A 17,060-nucleotide genomic window follows, 5' to 3' on the forward strand; every position below is an offset into this window, starting at 1 on the left:
GGCTTCCGGCGGCGTGACCTGACCGCAAGAGGCCAATGGAGTGTGGGAGCTGAAAGGGTCTTCGCTGGCGGCCGGTAACTGGCGGCGGTTGGGAACGGCCGAGTGTGGCTCTTCTGGTGTTTCAGCTTGGGGAGAGAGGGGTGGCCTTCCTCTTGCAGTTGAGGCCGGCGCCGAGCCGGACTTCAGGCGGATCTCGTGGCGGAGCCCATCTTGCTCCCTCTCCCAGGCCTTTACCCGCTCCCTAGGATTCCCGGGCCCTGTAGGTGGGAGTTGGGAGACGTGAGTTCTCTTTCATTCTGCGCCTCTCATTGGCTCTCTGACCTTGTGCGGAACGCGTCCTTTAGCTGACCTCAGCTGCATTTTTTAGAAGATGGAGATTGTATTCACAGTGACTGTCAGCTTTTTAACGGCGGGAACTGACGTAGTGTTAAACACTGTCGTGTATCGCTGGCACAGCACAAGGACATTATAGGTATTCTGTACTCAATTAAGTTATTTTGAGTCACAGACCTTTTGAAAATCTCGTGTAAGCTATGGCCCCTCCACCTCTCTAATACTTCCCCCGGCCCCCACCCCAAGCACACACAAAAGCTTATGCATAGGAAATTTGTTTTACTATTTCGGATTACTTCCAAGATCTCTCTCCTGATGCCCATCTATGGATCCCAGAGTCTGGCAAGTAGTAGGCGTTTGAACATTTGTAATCATTAGATAGTAAGTATTCAGTTAACCATTTTTATTTTTAATTTTTTCTTTTTTTTTTTTTTTTTTTTTGAGACAGGGCCTCACTGTGTCACCCAGGCTGGAGTGCAGTCCTCCCACCTCAGCCTCCCAAGTAGCTGGACTCCAGGCGCCCACCACCACGCCCAGCTATTTTTTGTGTTTTTGGTAGAGATGAGATTTTGCCATCTTACGCAGATTGGTCTCGAACTCTTGGCCTCAAGCAATCTACTCACCTCAGCTCCCTAAAGTGCTGGGATTACAGGCATGAGCCAGTGTGCCCAGCCCAGTTAATCATTTTTAAATGCATGAAATGCTATTTCACAGGAGGGAAGAAGATAGATAGCCTATTAATAAGTTTTAATTATTGGCCTAACCAGGTACTACTCTCACTTGTCTCCTAACGACTCTAGGAAAGAGGTATTACTAATTACTTAATTACATTTGAAGGTTTGGGAGAATTAATTTGCCATAAGTCATTCAACCTATGATGGTGGAGGCAAGAATTCAAACCTGTATCTATCTGAAACTCCAAAAGCCCCATATTATTATTATTATTATTATTTATTTTATTTATTTATTTATTTTTTTGAGACAGAGTCTTGTTCTGTTACCCCAGCCGGAGTGCAGTGGCATGATCTCAGCTCACTGCAATCTCCACCTCCCGGATTCAAGCAATTCTCCTCCCTCAGCCTCCCAAGTAGCTGGGATTACAGGCTCCCACCACCACACCTGGCTAATGTTTGTATTTTTAGTAGAGACGGGGTTTCACCATGTGGGCCAGGCTGGTCTTGAACTCCTGACCTCAGGCAATCTGCCCGCCTCGGCCTCCCAAAGTGCTGGGATTACAGGTGTGAGCCACCACGCCCAGCCAAGCCCTATATTCTTAACTAACCATGTTCTTAACATCTAGATGCAGAAATGGATTTGAATGTGATCTGCAGTTTCTGTCGTAGTTATGAAATGGCTTTTGTCAACATGGGTTACCCCAAAGCAAACATTGCATGCTATGGAAATACTTCTTGTCTCTTTTTCTCCCATGGTATCTGTATTGCTTCTTTAATAATAACATCATGTTTTACAGCCTGCACTCTGTGCCCATGTTTATTCAACCCTTTTTACTTTGGTGACTGTTTATCAGATGTGTTGCCTTGTTCTTCCTGCCCTCCAGAGCCCATGTTTTTAATTATAACTGAAATATGAGATGATAATATTTGGGCTTTATTTCTTTTTCTTTTAAAGGACAGTACTGCTTTTAAAGAGACAGTGTTAGGGATCTTGGAAGCACAGCCAACATGTGTGACATTGAAGAAGCCACTAACCAACTCCTAGATGTGAACCTTCATGAGAACCAGAAGTCTGTACAAGTGACAGAAAGTGACCTCGGAAGTGAATCTGAGCTTCTAGTCACTATTGGAGCCACTGTACCTACTGGCTTTGAGCAAACAGCTGCAGATGAAGTCAGAGAGAAACTTGGGTCATCATGCAAAATCAGCAGAGACCGTGGCAAGATATATTTTGTCATTTCAGTGGAAAGTCTGGCACAGGTTTGAATGGAGCAATATTTAAAATAGTTTTCTAAGTTGATCATTTTATGGTTACTTTTCATTTTATAGACCCTTCTGGAATCCTTTCTGATTTTCATTGCTCTGCCCCAAATCAGGTGATTTTAAAGTTACTGCATTTTCTATTGAGTACTGATTTGTAATTTTGACTGTAGTTTCAGTATCCCTTAGGACCAAAAGTGTTTCAGATTTTTGGAGGGGGGTGGGGGGAGTTTTGGAATATTTGCATTATACTTGCCAGTTGAGCATTTCTTTTTTTTTTCTTTTTCTTTGAGACAGAGTCTTGCTCTGTCATCAGGCTGGAGTGCAATGGCGCGATCTTGGCTCACTGCAACCTCCGCCTCCCAGGTTCAAGCAATTCTCCTGCCTCAGCCTCCCCAGTAGCTGGGACTACAGGCGCCCGCCACCGCATCTGGCTAATTTTTGTATATTTAGTAGAAACGGGGTTTCACCATCCTGGCCAGGCTGGTCTCGAACTCCTAACCCCGTGATCCACCCGCCTCGACCTCCCAAAGTGCTGGGATTACAGGCCTGAGCCACTGCGCTCGGCCTGCCAGTTGAGCATTTCTAATCTGAAAATCCGAAATGCTGCACTGAGCATTTCCTTTCAGCATTGTGTTGGGGCTCAAAAAGTTTCAGATTTTTAGATGTGGGCTGCTCAACCTGTAGTAGGATTGCTACATTTTTAGAGGTGATCTAGTATTTCTTGAGGATTGAATTCACCAGAAAGAATACTGTTCAACTTAAGAAATTCTCTAAGTATCTCAGTATTTATTTACTTCAGCATATAGCAGATGTTTAACCTTTGGTGATGAAACATAAAAGAGATTTTCCTTTTAATTTGCATCAAAAATTCTTGCTCAGAAGTAATTAGGACTCACTCAAGGTAAAAAGTGAAGGTCAGAAAACTGCAATCTCACTATCATAAAGCTGATATATCTCATTACCACATAAGCAGTGAGAGGGCAAGGATTGTTGTCTATTTTTTTTTCCACCAATATATCCCACGCTCTTAGTGTCTGGCATATAGTAGGTACCCAGAAAATATCTGTGGGATGAATTGGTAAGCAAATGTTTTCCATCCAATATTTTAGCCAATACCCTCAGCAGCTTTGTGAAGATAGGCACTATTATTATCCTCATTAATCATTAGGCTTAGGACACATAAATAATTTCCCCAGGGCCACTCAGCTAGTAATCACAGAACTGGAGCTCAAATCCCCTGCTTTTAACCATTGCAGCATACAGTGTACCCTAGAAAGTCATCGAGGAAATATGATACAGCCCACCTGAGTGGCTTCACCTTTCTCTTCTCCCACAAAAGACGTGTTGCCCACAAAACACTTCATGCTTCTCTCTTTCCATCTGCCCTTTTTCCCTTTCTCTAGGGGAAAGCTGATTAGTAACCAAAGAGATGAGAAACTAGGGAGATGGGACATTTTAAAAATACAAAATATAGTTAGTAGCTGCTTTAAAACTATCATTCCTAATTTTTTAAATACTTAATTGTTGATAGCTTGTGCTGTTCAAAAGCTTTCTCAGAAATGTGTTTCTTTTTTTTTCACCCAGGTTCATTGTCTGAGATCAGTTGATAACTTATTTGTGGTGGTTCAGGAGTTTCAAGATTACCAGTTCAAACAAACAAAGGTGAGCTATCCTAAACATGGTGGCTGATTTTTGGCTGTCTTCCACAAAGAGATTATTTCCATTTTTCATAGTCTGTGAAAGTTTAGCATTACTGTAGTCTTTGTAATAGAGAATACTGGGAGGCTTTTACAGTAAAATCTAGAGTTTTGCTGACAGTCTATCCCAAAAGATGTTTTTTGAAAATTAGTATTGAAAACCATTAAAGTTTATAAGAAAGAAGAAAACACCTTGTTTTACTTGTAAGAGATATAAACCTTAGATTTGCTTTGCTTTTACATATATTTAGTTCCAAAAGAGAATTGCTTCCAGAACATGAACCAAAGAACAAGTGACAGTTTGTGTCTTCTACAAATAACACTTCCTCACCATCCTGCTTTTGCTCTGCTTTCTTCTCTTTCTTCATTTTTTGAAATAAAGCCAAAATAACATCTAAATACTCCTTCAGTTGTTAGGACAACAGCTTTGTCTCCAATATGTATTTAGCATCTGAATCCTAAATATTCAGCTGCTGCCTAAGCTGAAGGTTGAAAATAGATTGCAGCAAGGCTTTAGGTTTTTTCCACACTGCTTTTTGGTTAGGTTTCTAGAGTTAACCGCTTAAAAACATTTTTCTATCAGTTTTACGTATCTTAGAAATAATCTTTTTAAAAACAACTGTGATACGCTACCTAATTGTCTAACTTTTATTTATTGGCAAGCATGTTGATTTCCAAAACGTTATTCAAAAACGAGTCAAAGTTGTATGAACCCTCAGCCTAGAAAACAATAAGACCAGACCTAAAAGAAGTCAGACTTAAGGGCCTGGCGTGGTGGCTCACACCTGTAATCCCAGCACTTTGGGAGGCCGAGGCGGGTGGATCATGAGGTCAGGAGATCGAGACCATCCTGGCTAACACGGTGAAACCCCGTCTCTACTAAAAATATAAAAAATTAGCCGGGCGTAGTGGTGGGCGCCTGTAGTCCCAGCTACTCAGGAGGCTGAGGCAGGAGAATGGCGTGAACCCGGGAGGCGGAGCTGGCAGTGAGCAGAGATCACACCACTGCACTCCAGCCTGGGCGACAGAGCGAGACTCCATCTCAAAAAAAAAAGTCAGACTGAAAATAGATAAAAATTGTATTAAGTAAAAATCTAACTTTTAGAAAAGCTTAAAGCAATTCTAATGAGTTCTCTTAAGTATTCAGATGATAATCATGAATTTATTAGTCCCCACCCCCCTCTTTTAAAAAATATTGAGATGGGGTCTCACTATGTTGCCCAGGCTGGTCTCAAACTTCTGGGCTCAAGTGATCCTCCCACTTAAGCCTCCCAAAGTGCTGGGATTACAGGTGTAAGCCATTGCACCTGGCCCCCATTCCCCACCTCCACCCGCGCATATTTTTTTTTTTTTTTTTTTTGAGACAGAGTCTTGCTCTGTTGCCTAGGCTGGAGTGCAGTGGCACAATCTCAGCCTACTGCAACCTCTGCCACCTGGGTTCAAGCGATTCTCCTGCCTCAGCCTCCCGAGTAGCTGGGACTATAGGCATATGCCACCATGCCCGGCTAATTTTTGTATTTTTAGTAGAGACGGGGTTTCAGCATCTTGGCCAGGCTGGTCTTGAACTCCTGACCTCGTGATCCACCTGTCTTGGCCTCTCAAAGTGCTGGGGTTACAGGCGTAAGCCACCGCGCCTGGCCTCCATCTGCCTTTTTAAAAGTATGAACAAATCTGTGATTTATATGGGTTTTTAAAGACTAGTTAATACATGTATTTGGAGCAAACTTGTAAAGACTGAATGGATATAGAGTGAAAAGTAAGTCTTTGTTCCTATATCCTCATGCTATGCAGCTCCCTCCCTGGAGGCAACAACTGTTAGCAATTTCTTGGGTATTATTCTGGAGATATTTTACGAATAAATGTATTTTATTTACACAAATGAAAGCATAGCATACATACTTTTCTGCGCTATGCTTTTTTTTCATATACAAGTTGAGTATCCCTTATCTGAAATACTCGGGACCAGAAATGTTTTGGATTTTTGTTTGTTTGTTTTTTGAAATATTCTGGGTTGGGCATGGTGGCTCACACCTGTAATCCCAGCACTTTGGGAAGCCAAAGCAGGTGAATCATGAGGTCAGGAGTTTGAGAGCAGCATGGCCAAGGTGGTGAAACACCATCTCTACTAAAAATACAAAAATTAGCCGGGTGCGGTGGCGGGCTTCTGTAATTCCAGCTACTCGGGAGGCTGAGGCAGGAGAATCACTTGAACCCGGGAGGCAGAAGTTGCAGTGAGCCGAGATCACGCCACTGCACTCTAGTCTGGGCAACAGAGCAAGACTCCGTCTCAAAAAAAAAAAAAAAAAAAAAAAAGAAAGAAATACTCTGAGGGTGGAACCTATGTATAAATAAATCCAAGATTCATTTGTTTCATATATACGTTATACGTATAGCTTGACGGTAATTTTATATGATTTTTAAAATAATTTATACATGAAACAAAGTTTGTGTACACTGAACCATCAGAAAGCAAAGGTGTCACTATCTCAGCTACCTGTGTGGCATCATGTTGGCACTTCAAAAAAATTTTAGGTTTTGGATTTTGGACTTTGAGATTAGGAATGTTCAACCTATATGTTGGAGATCCTGGCAGTATCATTGCTGGAATTGGCTGCGTATACTCCATTGTTTGGCTGTATAATAATTTAACCAGTCCCATTTTAGGGCATGAGGGTTTTTCACATTCTTTTGCTATTACAGTGGTGCAACAAATACACTATGTAAATTCTTGTACATATTCAAACTGAGTGTCATCTTTGTGTTTATCCCATTGATACTTATTGATAATGACAACTGTTTAGTCTTAGTTTTGTCATGCTCATACTTTTTGTTTTTTCTTAATTTGAAAAATCTTTACATTATGTCTTTACTTTTTTCATATGCCTGTGTTTTCTAATAGTTTGGAAGGTTTATGTGTGTGTGTTCTAGCTGTTACCTTTATAACTACAATTTGATATTATCTACCTTATCTACCATATATACACGGTATTTTTTGAATCCCTGCTAAAAGCAATGATGAAATTGGCATATTTATACTTTTTTCCTTTATTTTTCAGTTATTTTTCTTAGTGTTCACCCTTAAACTTTTAAATATACTTACATTTTATTTATCAGCTTTAACTTCTATCCTTTGACCTCTGGGTGTAAGAGATGAGGGTATCAGTATGCCCATTTACATGCCAGTTTGTAACATTTACCTTCTGCTTTATAATCACAATCCCTACACTTGTTTTCATTTTAGTGATATAATTAAATAGATTATAGGCACATTATTTGTCCTTTTGTTATAATTTGTATCTGTTGAATGGCATGAGTTCAGAAATGTTTGTCTTTCACCTTTATATTTGGCTGATAGTTTGGGTATAAAATTTGGAGTTAGGCTTTCTTTCCTTAAGAATATTGTAGTCAGTGTTCATTCTCTTTTGTAAAAGATTTATTTTTTTAGACAAGATCTTGCTCTGTTGTCTAAGCTGGAGTGCATTGGCGTGATCATAGCTCATTGGAGCCTTGACCTCCCAGGCTCAAGCAGTCCTCCCATCTCAGCTTCCTGAGTAGCTGGGACTACAGGCACGTGCCACCATGCCCAGTTAATTTTTGTATTTTTTTGTGGAGACAGAGTTTTGCCATGTTGCCCAGTCTGGTCTCAAACTCCTAAGTTCAAGTGATCCACTTGCTTCAGCTTCCTAAAGTGCTGGGATTACAGGCATGAGCCACCATATCCAGCCCAGACTTTTTTTCTTGTCATTATTTCCCAAACAATACAGTATAACAACTATTTCCATAGCATTTACATTGTATCAGGTATCATAGGTAAGATAGAGATGATTTAAGTTACTCTTGAGAGGATGTGTGTAGGTCATATGTAGACACTATACCATTTTATATGAGGGACTTTTGAGCATCTTTGGGTTTTGGTGTCTTTGGCGGTCCTGGAACCAGTGTCCCCCACGGATACCAACTGTCCATAAGCAAAGTAGAGGTTTATTTGTTTGATTATAGTGGTGAGAAATGAATGAATTTCTTTCTCTGTCCTTTACAGGAAGAAGTTCTAAAGGATTTTGAAGACTTGGCTGGAAAACTCCCATGGTCAAACCCCTTAAAAGTGTGGAAAATTAATGCCAGTTTTAAAAAGAAAAAAGCAAAGCGCAAAAAGATAAATCAGAATTCAAGTAAAGAGAAGATTAATAATGGACAAGAAGTCAAAATCGATCAGAGAAATGTTAAAAAAGAGTTCACTAGCCATGCTTTAGATTCTCATATCTTAGATTATTATGAAAATCCAGCCATCAAAGAGGATGTATCAACATTAATAGGTGATGATTTGGCATCTTGCAAAGATGAGACTGATGAAAGCTCAAAAGAAGAAACTGAGCCTCAAGTGCTGAAGTTTAGAGTCACATGCAACAGGGCAGGAGAGAAACATTGCTTTACCTCAAATGAGGCTGCAAGAGATTTTGGGGGTGCTGTTCAAGATTATTTTAAGTGGAAGGCCGACATGACCAACTTTGATGTGGAGGTAGGTATAGGCTCTGACTGTGGTGATTGAAGAATGCTGTCACAGATTTGTAGAATTTCCAGACTAACCCAATGTTATGCACAATTAAACTGAGGAAATAGTAGGGTGTGGTTAAGAAGAGCATAGGCTATGGAGACAGATTTAGATCCAAATTTTAACTCCACAACTGTATAACTTTGGACTAGATAGTCTCTGAGCCTCTGTTTCAAATGGAGCCAATAATATTATGTACCTTTAAGGTTATCCTGAAGGATAAATGAGGTACATTTAAAATATTTGGTGCAATACCTTGCATACACTAAGTGCTCCATAGATGGAAGCCATCAAGGTTGAGTTGTCTGTTTTCTTTTTCTTTTTCGAGACAGAGTCTTGCTCTGTCACCCAGGCTAGAGTGCAGTGGTACGATCTCAGCTCACTGCAGCCTCCACCTTCCTGGTTCAAGTGATTCTTGTGCTCAGCCTCCCAAGTAGCTGGGGCTACAGGCACATGCCACCACACCTGGCTAATTTTTGTATTTTTTAATAGACATGGGGTTTCACCCTGTTGGCCAGGCTGGTCTCAAACTCCTGTAGTGATCTGCCTGTCTTGGCCTCCCAAAGTGCTGGGATTATAGCTGCACCTGGCCTGATTTCTAATAGACTACTCTTTTACTATATTATATGGACTTTCATATTATAAAATTCAACCAGAATTAAAATAGTTATTTTGTTTTTGTGTGTCTTGGTTGCAGAGCTTTGCTACTGAAAAAATAAAATAAGGCTGGGCGCAGTGGCTCACGCCTGTAATCCCAGCACTTTGGGAGGGAGGCCGAGGCAGGTGGATCACTTGAGGTCAGGAATTTGAGACCAGCGTGGCCAATATGGTGAAACCCTGTCTCTACTAAAAATACAAAAATTGGCCCGTCATGATGGCACACTCCTGTGGTCCCAGCTACTGGGGAGGCTGAGGCAGGAGAATCACTTGAACCAGGGAGGTGGAGGTTGCAGTGAGCCAAGATCATGCCACTGCACTTCAGCGTGGGTGACAGAGCAAGACTCCATCTCCAAAAAAAAAAAAAGTGCATTTTTTAAACAAACCCTGACCTTCTCAAACCAGGACATCATTGCTAATACTCATCCTAGAGTCAGCTCTCCTCTTTCTTAAATTCTGCTAGATTTCCAAAGCCAGGTACCTCATTTTAGTATATTTACTTTCCTTGGTCTTAATCCTCTTTTATCTGGGTGATTGACATGTGAACCATAGGAACTAAAGTATTTAAGTCTCTGACACCTTAAAACATCTCTAGCAGCTGATATATTTACCAAAGAGTCAATTTCCGTTGCTTTTGGGACACTTGAATCTGGGGCAAGTCACTGATTCTAACTTTTTTGTGCATGTCAAATCAGGAGTCTAATTCCCCATTCCTTTTTTTCCTCATACACTGCCTTGCAAATGAATACGTGGCTCACACCTGTAATTCCAGTACTTTGGGAGGCCTTGGCAGGCAGATCGCTTGAGCCCAAGAATTTGAGACCAGCCTGGGCAAAATAGTGAGACCCTGTCTCCACTAAAAATAAAATAAATATTTTAAAAAATAAAATGAATAGGTTAACCAGAACAGTGATGTCTAAAAGTTAGCAAGGTGATTCAGAGGAGTTTCTGGAGCCGTGCTGCATTGGTTTAAATCCCAGAGGAGGCTGGGTGTGGTGACACACACCTGTAATCCCAGCACTTTGGGAGGTCAAGATTGGAGGATTGTTTCAGGCCAGGAGTTCTAGACCAGCCTAGGCGACATAGGGAGACCCTGTCTCTACAAAAAATAAAAAAAAAATTAGCTGAGTATGATGACAGACACCTATAGTCCCAGGTACTTGGGAGGCTGAAGTAAGAGATTGCTTGAGCCCAGGAAGTCCAGGCCACAGTGATCTGTGATCATGCCACTGCACTCAATCCTGGGCGACAGAGTGAGACCCTGTCTCAAAAAGGGAATTCCTGAGGAGCTGTCTTTGTGCCTCAGTATCCTCATTTATAAAGGGAATAATACCTAGCTTAGGGGATGTGAATATGAGATGAGGCCATGTATGTAAAATGTGTAGAATAGTGCTTTGCATTAGGAAGTGCTGTATGAGTATCAGCTGTGCTTCTGCTGTGGTTAAGCTCAGGAAGTCTTTCAGTGAAAGATTGGGGAACATTTTGGTTTAGTTTAGTTCACTTTTGAGACAGGGTCTCGCTGTATCACCCAGACTGGAGTGCAGTGGTGCAATCATGGCTCACTAAAGCCTTGACCTCCCAGGCTCAGGCTGTCCTCCCACCTCAGCCTCCCGAGTAGCTGGGACTGTGGGCCTGTGCCACTGCACTCAGTGTAATAAGACTTTTTATTTGAGACTTTACCAATTTTTAAAACTTTTTTGTTGAGATACACTTTGCACCCCTTAAGTACACAAATCTTAAGTTTTCAGTAAGTTTTTACTTATATACACGATGTGTAAACAGCATCCAGATAGAGATACAAACTATTTCCAGTACCTCGGGCTCCCCTTGCCCTTTCCCAGTCAGTACCCACTCAAGGCAATCACTAATCTGACTGCTACCACCAAAAATTCGTTTTGCCAATTTTTGAACTTCATATAAATGAAATCATATAGTATATAGTTTTTTTCGTTCATTTTAATATCTATTATTTTCTTTTAATTCACTATGTTTATTGGCTACAACCAGATTTCACCCCAATTTTTATAACACAAACATATTTTGAAGGCTTAGAGGTTTTTTAATATGTATTTTTTAAATGTCTTAACTTTTTAGACAGTTCTGGGCTGTGGTGCGCTATGCCAATCAGGTGTCTGCACTAAGTTTGGCATCAATATGGTGACCTCCCAGGAGTAGGGGACCAACAGGTTGCCTAAGGAGGGGTGAACCGGCCCAGGTCAGAAAAGTCTTATTACTAAGCGCAGTTTGAACAATCCTAAAACTATTTTGTCTTGTTCCACTTTGCTATAGGTTCTTTTGAACATCCATGATAATGAAGTCATTGTGGGCATTGCATTGACTGAAGAGAGTCTCCACCGAAGAAATATAACACATTTTGGACCTACAACTCTTAGATCAACTCTTGCCTATGGGATGCTCAGGTAAGAAAATGAGTTTGCCATCCAGCTTAAAGTGGCACCTTGGTTTGAATGTTCCCTTCAAAATACTGATTTGTGTGTATGTGTGTTTGAGGTACTGTGTTGGAATAGAGTGGATAAAGAATAGAATGGAAAGCTAATGATCTATTTCTTTCCCTTCTATCCAATATTGACTCCTTGTGATCTGAAAATACTGCTTAATAGGTGGCTCAGTTTTCTTTATTTCTTTTTTTGAGACAAAGTCTCACTCTGTCGCCCAGACTGGACTGCAGTGGCGAGATCTCAGCTCACTGTAACCTCTGCCTCCCGGGTTCAAGCGATTCTCCTGTCTCAGCCGAATAGCTGGGATTACAGGTGCCTGCCACCACGCCCAGATAATTTTTGTATTTTTTTAATAGAGACGACATTTCACTATGTTGGCGAGGCTGGTCTCAAATACCTGACCTCAGGTGATCCACCCGCCTCGGCCTCCCAAAGTGCTGGGATTACAGGTGTAAGCCACCGCGCCCGGTTTTCTTGATTTTAAAATGAGAGTAATAGTTTTCACCTGCCTCTTGAATGAGGTTACCACATTTCTGTTTAGCAAGGATATGTGTGTTGGGAGATAAGAGTAAATTTTGCTGTTTCATTTCTGTGCAGTGAAAAAGATGAAAGCAGAGATTTTTATGTGTATAACGTGTAAATGAACAGAAAGAGCTTTTACTTATATTTTTAAGCTTTATACTCACAGCAACTCAGGAATCATCCTAGAATTTTTTGCTTTTCAGAGTACACGACCTATCTTTCCTTCTCCTTTGCCCTTCTCTCTTTTATTGGGTGCTTCTTTCCACCACTTGAAAATGTTTATTTTCTCTAAAGCTTCTGTTTTCCAGATGGCAAAATGGATTTGATGTGAGACTTAAAGGATTATTAGTGAGGATTAAATGCTGAAGCATATGCAAAATACCTATTATATACAGTGCCTGGTATGTCCTGGTAGTTAAGTCCAGTCATGCATCACTTAATGACAGGGATACATTCTGAAAAATGTGTCATCACGCAATTTCATCATTGTGCGAACCTCATGGAGTGTACCTACACAAATCTAGATGGTGTAGCCTACTACACACCTGGGCTATGTGGTATCTCCTATTGCTCCTAGGCTACAAACCTGTACAGCATGTTATTGTACTGAATATTGTAGTCAGTTGTAACGCAGTGGTATTTGTGTATCTAAACATAGAAAGGATAGGGCAAAATATGGTATTATAATTACTGCATTCATATATTTGGTCCACCATTGATTGGAAGATTGTCATGCAGTACACGACTGTATTCCTTCTCTTCCAATCTTTTATCTTCCTAACATATTAATTCAATGACGATAATAGAAAATTGGGCCCATTTGATAAAGGAAAATCTTCTAGTCTTCATTAATTTAACAAATATGCATTATCTACTGCCAGGCATATGGTAGAAACCAGGGATACAGAGAGGGTGTTATTTTGGGTGCAAATATTTAAAACCTAAGTAATCAAGTTTAGGATAAAAAAGTGATAATTGTGCCAGAGAGGGGTTTATTGGAAAGATAAAGAGAAATCTTGGGGATTCTACAGAAAAACTGAATGTTGGTTCTCAAGAAGGGTAGGAACCACATCTTGGAAAACCACCAGAAATGTAGGCAGCCATTTTTATCTCCCCTTAGAGCCTGTGGACTCTTGTCTCTTCTCATCTACATGCTTTCTCATCTAAATTTATGTATTTCCAATTCCAAACGACCAACCCACACTGCCTAGGGCTTTTAGCTCTTTGTTCCAAATTCCTGGAAGAGAGGATCTGATGGACATTGTTTTGGTCAGATATTCACCCCTGACCATCAGGAATGGCTTGGAGTACAGGGTGCTTACCCCCTCAAGAGGGTTGCCAAGGATTCTATTGCCATGTGTTGAGGAGTAGGAGCAAGGAGATAGAGCAGGACCAATGTTACAATAAGAACCCACTATTAACCCCCAAGAATCTGTCTTGTGAGGGAGATAAATAGTTATCATACATGCGATAAGTCCCACACCAGCACATGAAAAGATTAGAAGAACAAGAGAAGGGAAGAAACCTACTGACCTGTTTCAGGGTGGGATGCTTCATAAAGAGGATAACAGTTAAGCCACTAACAGTAATGCCTCTAATCTTGAATCTGTTACCTACTAGTTTTGTGTCCCTGGGCAGGTAACTTCATGTTTCCTTGCATCAGCTTACCTTTAAAATGAGAATAATGATAATTATCTAACAGGGTCCTTACTGAGGATTCTGTGAGATAATGCATGGAAAGAGCTTAAGTCCATGCCCAGGAAATACTAAGTGCTCAAAGTAAAGCATTTTTTTTTCCTTTTTTTATTACCTAGTCCCACAGAGCAATTTTTTTATATCAAGATTAGCTTTAAATTCAGAAGGAAAGGAATACTGAATGTCTCATTGCCAGTAACCTTATATTGATGCATGTTTGACTTGAGACATTTTTGAGTCTTTTTAATGTAATACAGGTTTCTGTTGAAAACAACACTGTTGTCAAAAAGTATGCATGAGCGTGTGTGTGTGTGTGTGTGTACACATGTGTACTTTAAGATGTCTGCAAACTAAATTTCATCTGAGAGTGAAATGGGATTTTGGAAGATAGTCAAAGGAGATTTAGTTATAAGGATTTTTTTTCCCCAAGTAATGGAATATACAGTCAACATATCATTATAAATTGATTTTATTTATTTATTTATTTATTTTTGAGACGGAGTCTTGCTCTGTCACCCAGGCTGCATCTTACATGATCTTGGCTCACTGCAATCCCCGCCTTCTGGGTTCAAGCAATTCTCGAGTCTCAGCCTTTGTACTAGCTGGGATTACAGGCACCCACCACCACGCCCAGCTAATTTTTTGTATTTTTAGTGGAGACGGGGTTTCGCCATGTTGGCCAGGCTGGTCTTGAATTCCTGACCTCAAGCGATCCACCCATCTCAGCCTCCCAAAGTGCTGGGATTACAGGCGTGAGTCACCGTGCGCGGCCACAAATTGATTTCTAAAATATGTGTAGATTGGTGTTCCTTCGGGCTAGTGTGGTAGGTCCTCAATCTTAAAGCTTCAGGAATCATCAGTATAGAAGCCTCAGCTTTTGAGTGAGTCTTCACATAGGCTGTTTTCTTTTCTCTAGGCTCTGTGATCCTCTACCTTATGATATAATAGTCGATCCAATGTGTGGAACTGGGGCAATACCAATAGAGGTAATCATATTTCTTTAGCTTTTAGATAAGAGTGATACATCCAGAATATTCTAGACCTAATGGGCAAATTAGACATAATGAAATCTCCATGGTTGGATCAGTGGACCCAAGAGTTTTAAAACAATTAACAATAGAAAGTGGAACTTTTTTGTAAAGAATGTAACTACTTATTTCAAAGAGCCATGTGCCACTGGCCTAGATACATTGTTAGTGACATCTATTCACTAGATTACAGAGGAAGCTGAGAATTACAAACTGCCGATGAGTCCTCTTTGTGTAACAGACAAGCTGGTAGACTTGAATGGGAAAAGATAATTGAAGGCATAAGCATAAACTGGAGGAAGGCAATTTTCTTCTCTGTAATCCACTTAAGTTCCTAGAGGGAATAAGTATAGTTGTAAAAAGGGGAAACTTATGAACATTACTTGGATTTTTTAGGAAGTCTAACAAGCTTAATACCAAATGCTCTTAGTTTTCAAAATTACCATGATATTGAGAGGACTCATAAAAACTGTGTAAAGCAAAGCAAGAAATGGAAAGGCATTTTCTAAATGGAGAATATTTCACAGTAGATTCCCCTTGAATAATCAGTATCATCTATATGTTTTTAAAGAATTTAGAAGAGGGAGCTCCCAGTAAAATCACTGAAGTTTGTGTGAAACATAGTAGTTCTTCCATATAGTATACTGACAGCCAATTTGAATAAACTGCAGGGAGACACAGCAGATTATATGATTGGGTAGAAACTGGACAGATGAGCAAGTCCAAAGCAAGCCCACAAGGGGAGAAATAATCCAAACTGTAATTAGAAAATGGTATCTGTTCTGGGAGTTAAAATCCAAGACTGAAATCATAGAAGTCTACATGTGACTGTGTTCCGTGAAAGCTAGAGAAATTACTGTGGCTTAAAGAGACTGCACAGTAAAAACCCAGTCCTTCTTGTGGCCAAGAAGGATTCTGGGAAGAAAGCAGAGTGTTGTTTTCTAGTATGAAATCATGATATGTGTATGAAATAGCAGGTAAGGTCACCGCATGTCAAGAAATACACAACAGAGCTCCGAGTAAAAATAAAGGCCGAAAAAAATTAAAACATGAAGTTTGAGCCATTTCCATGTAAGAGTAGACATGCAGATGTCAATGTAGAAAAACCTAAGCCGATATATGATCAAAATGAATAAAATTATGAATAAATTGACAAGGTATATATAAAGATTTGTTCACCAAAGTATAAAATACTTGATCTAGAATAATTTTTTTTTTTAATTTAGAAGTGTTATGCTATAAAACCCAATTCTTTCCAATGCTGAAAATCCAAATAGGTTTAGGAAAAAAAAAAAAGAATATTTGGGAATCGGAATCACTGAGAGCCTTCCTCAAACTCTAGGTCCCCTCTACATCCCCACCCACCCAAAATTCTGGGATACTTCAACTTCCCTTTTGTTTGATGTCATCGTAGGATTGTAGACAGGGTATGTTATCACCCTCAAGTGTCTGGGCAAAAGAAAAAGTTATGAAACACTGCACTCATGGATGAGAAGTATGTTACTGTTCACAAAGGAACACAAAGGTGTTTGCTACTCACCCCTAAGCAGAGGCAGACCTTTCCCGGCTTTCGTGTCAGAAACCTTCTGTTAATCTGCATAGAACATTGTTCAGGCCTAGGGTCACGTCACCTCATTCCACAAATGACATGTGACAGCTTGGTATTTATGTTCTGCTGACAGGTTTTTTATTTATAATTACAAAATCCTTCCAGTGATATGGTGGTTACCATTCAAAAGCCTATCATACAAAGGAAATTGCATTTTACTATTATTTTTTTGACCTGGGGTCTTGCTCTGTCAGCCAGGCTGGAGTGCAGTGGTGTAATCTCAGCTCCCTGCAACCTCTGCCTCCCTGTCTTAAGCCATTCTCCCACCTCAGCCTCTCGAGTAGCTGAGACTCAGGTGCACACCATCACACCCAGCTGATTTTTGTGTTTTTGTAGAGATGGGCTTTCACCATGTTCCCAGGCTGGTCTCAAACTCCTGGGCTCAAGAAATCCTCCTGCCTCAGCTTCCCAAAGTGCTGGGATTTCAGGTGTGAGCCACCATGCCCGGCCGGAAATAGCATTTTATTTTGCAATTTTCAAATATATCAGATTATGTAAACTCCCACAACCACAAATCTCAAATATTTTCAAACCGCATTAACTTAGAATTTAGTGTGCCAGACACTGCTGGATG

The 17,060-nt window shown here is 40.4% G+C and overlaps 1 protein-coding gene across 12 annotated transcripts in view, besides 3 other annotated features; it reads left to right on the forward strand.

Annotated features, from left to right (window-relative positions):
• Nucleotides 1-17,060, forward strand: part of THUMPD3 (THUMP domain 3 tRNA guanosine methyltransferase) — a 23,738-nt gene continuing 6,678 nt past the window's right edge. For 2 of the 12 annotated variants that reach the window (XM_006713086.4, XM_017006114.2), the window contains exons 1-6: nucleotides 1-714; nucleotides 1,963-2,267; nucleotides 3,855-3,932; nucleotides 8,007-8,483; nucleotides 11,463-11,593; nucleotides 14,766-14,835. In XM_006713086.4, the coding sequence (XP_006713149.1) occupies nucleotides 2,016-2,267; nucleotides 3,855-3,932; nucleotides 8,007-8,483; nucleotides 11,463-11,593; nucleotides 14,766-14,835 (1,008 nt within the window). In that variant the 5' untranslated portion in view covers nucleotides 1-714; nucleotides 1,963-2,015. Of the gene's footprint in view, nucleotides 1,141-1,962; nucleotides 2,268-3,854; nucleotides 3,933-8,006; nucleotides 8,484-11,462; nucleotides 11,594-14,765; nucleotides 14,836-17,060 lie in introns of all 12 variants that reach the window. The other 10 variants (XM_005265021.5, XM_017006113.2, NM_015453.3 and 7 more) reach the window with 6 other exon arrangements.
• Nucleotides 161-220: an enhancer, noted in NCBI's record as "active region_19400". NCBI's record gives its function as "activates an Ori minimal core promoter by ATAC-STARR-seq in GM12878 lymphoblastoid cells {active_cell/tissue: GM12878}" and the evidence as "EXISTENCE:reporter gene assay evidence [ECO:0000049][PMID:35858748]".
• Nucleotides 291-370: an enhancer, noted in NCBI's record as "active region_19401". NCBI's record gives its function as "activates an Ori minimal core promoter by ATAC-STARR-seq in GM12878 lymphoblastoid cells {active_cell/tissue: GM12878}" and the evidence as "EXISTENCE:reporter gene assay evidence [ECO:0000049][PMID:35858748]".
• Nucleotides 391-450: an enhancer, noted in NCBI's record as "active region_19402". NCBI's record gives its function as "activates an Ori minimal core promoter by ATAC-STARR-seq in GM12878 lymphoblastoid cells {active_cell/tissue: GM12878}" and the evidence as "EXISTENCE:reporter gene assay evidence [ECO:0000049][PMID:35858748]".

Source organism: Homo sapiens, chromosome 3 (assembly GCF_000001405.40).
Source record: "Homo sapiens chromosome 3, GRCh38.p14 Primary Assembly".
NCBI lineage: Eukaryota > Metazoa > Chordata > Mammalia > Primates > Hominidae > Homo > Homo sapiens.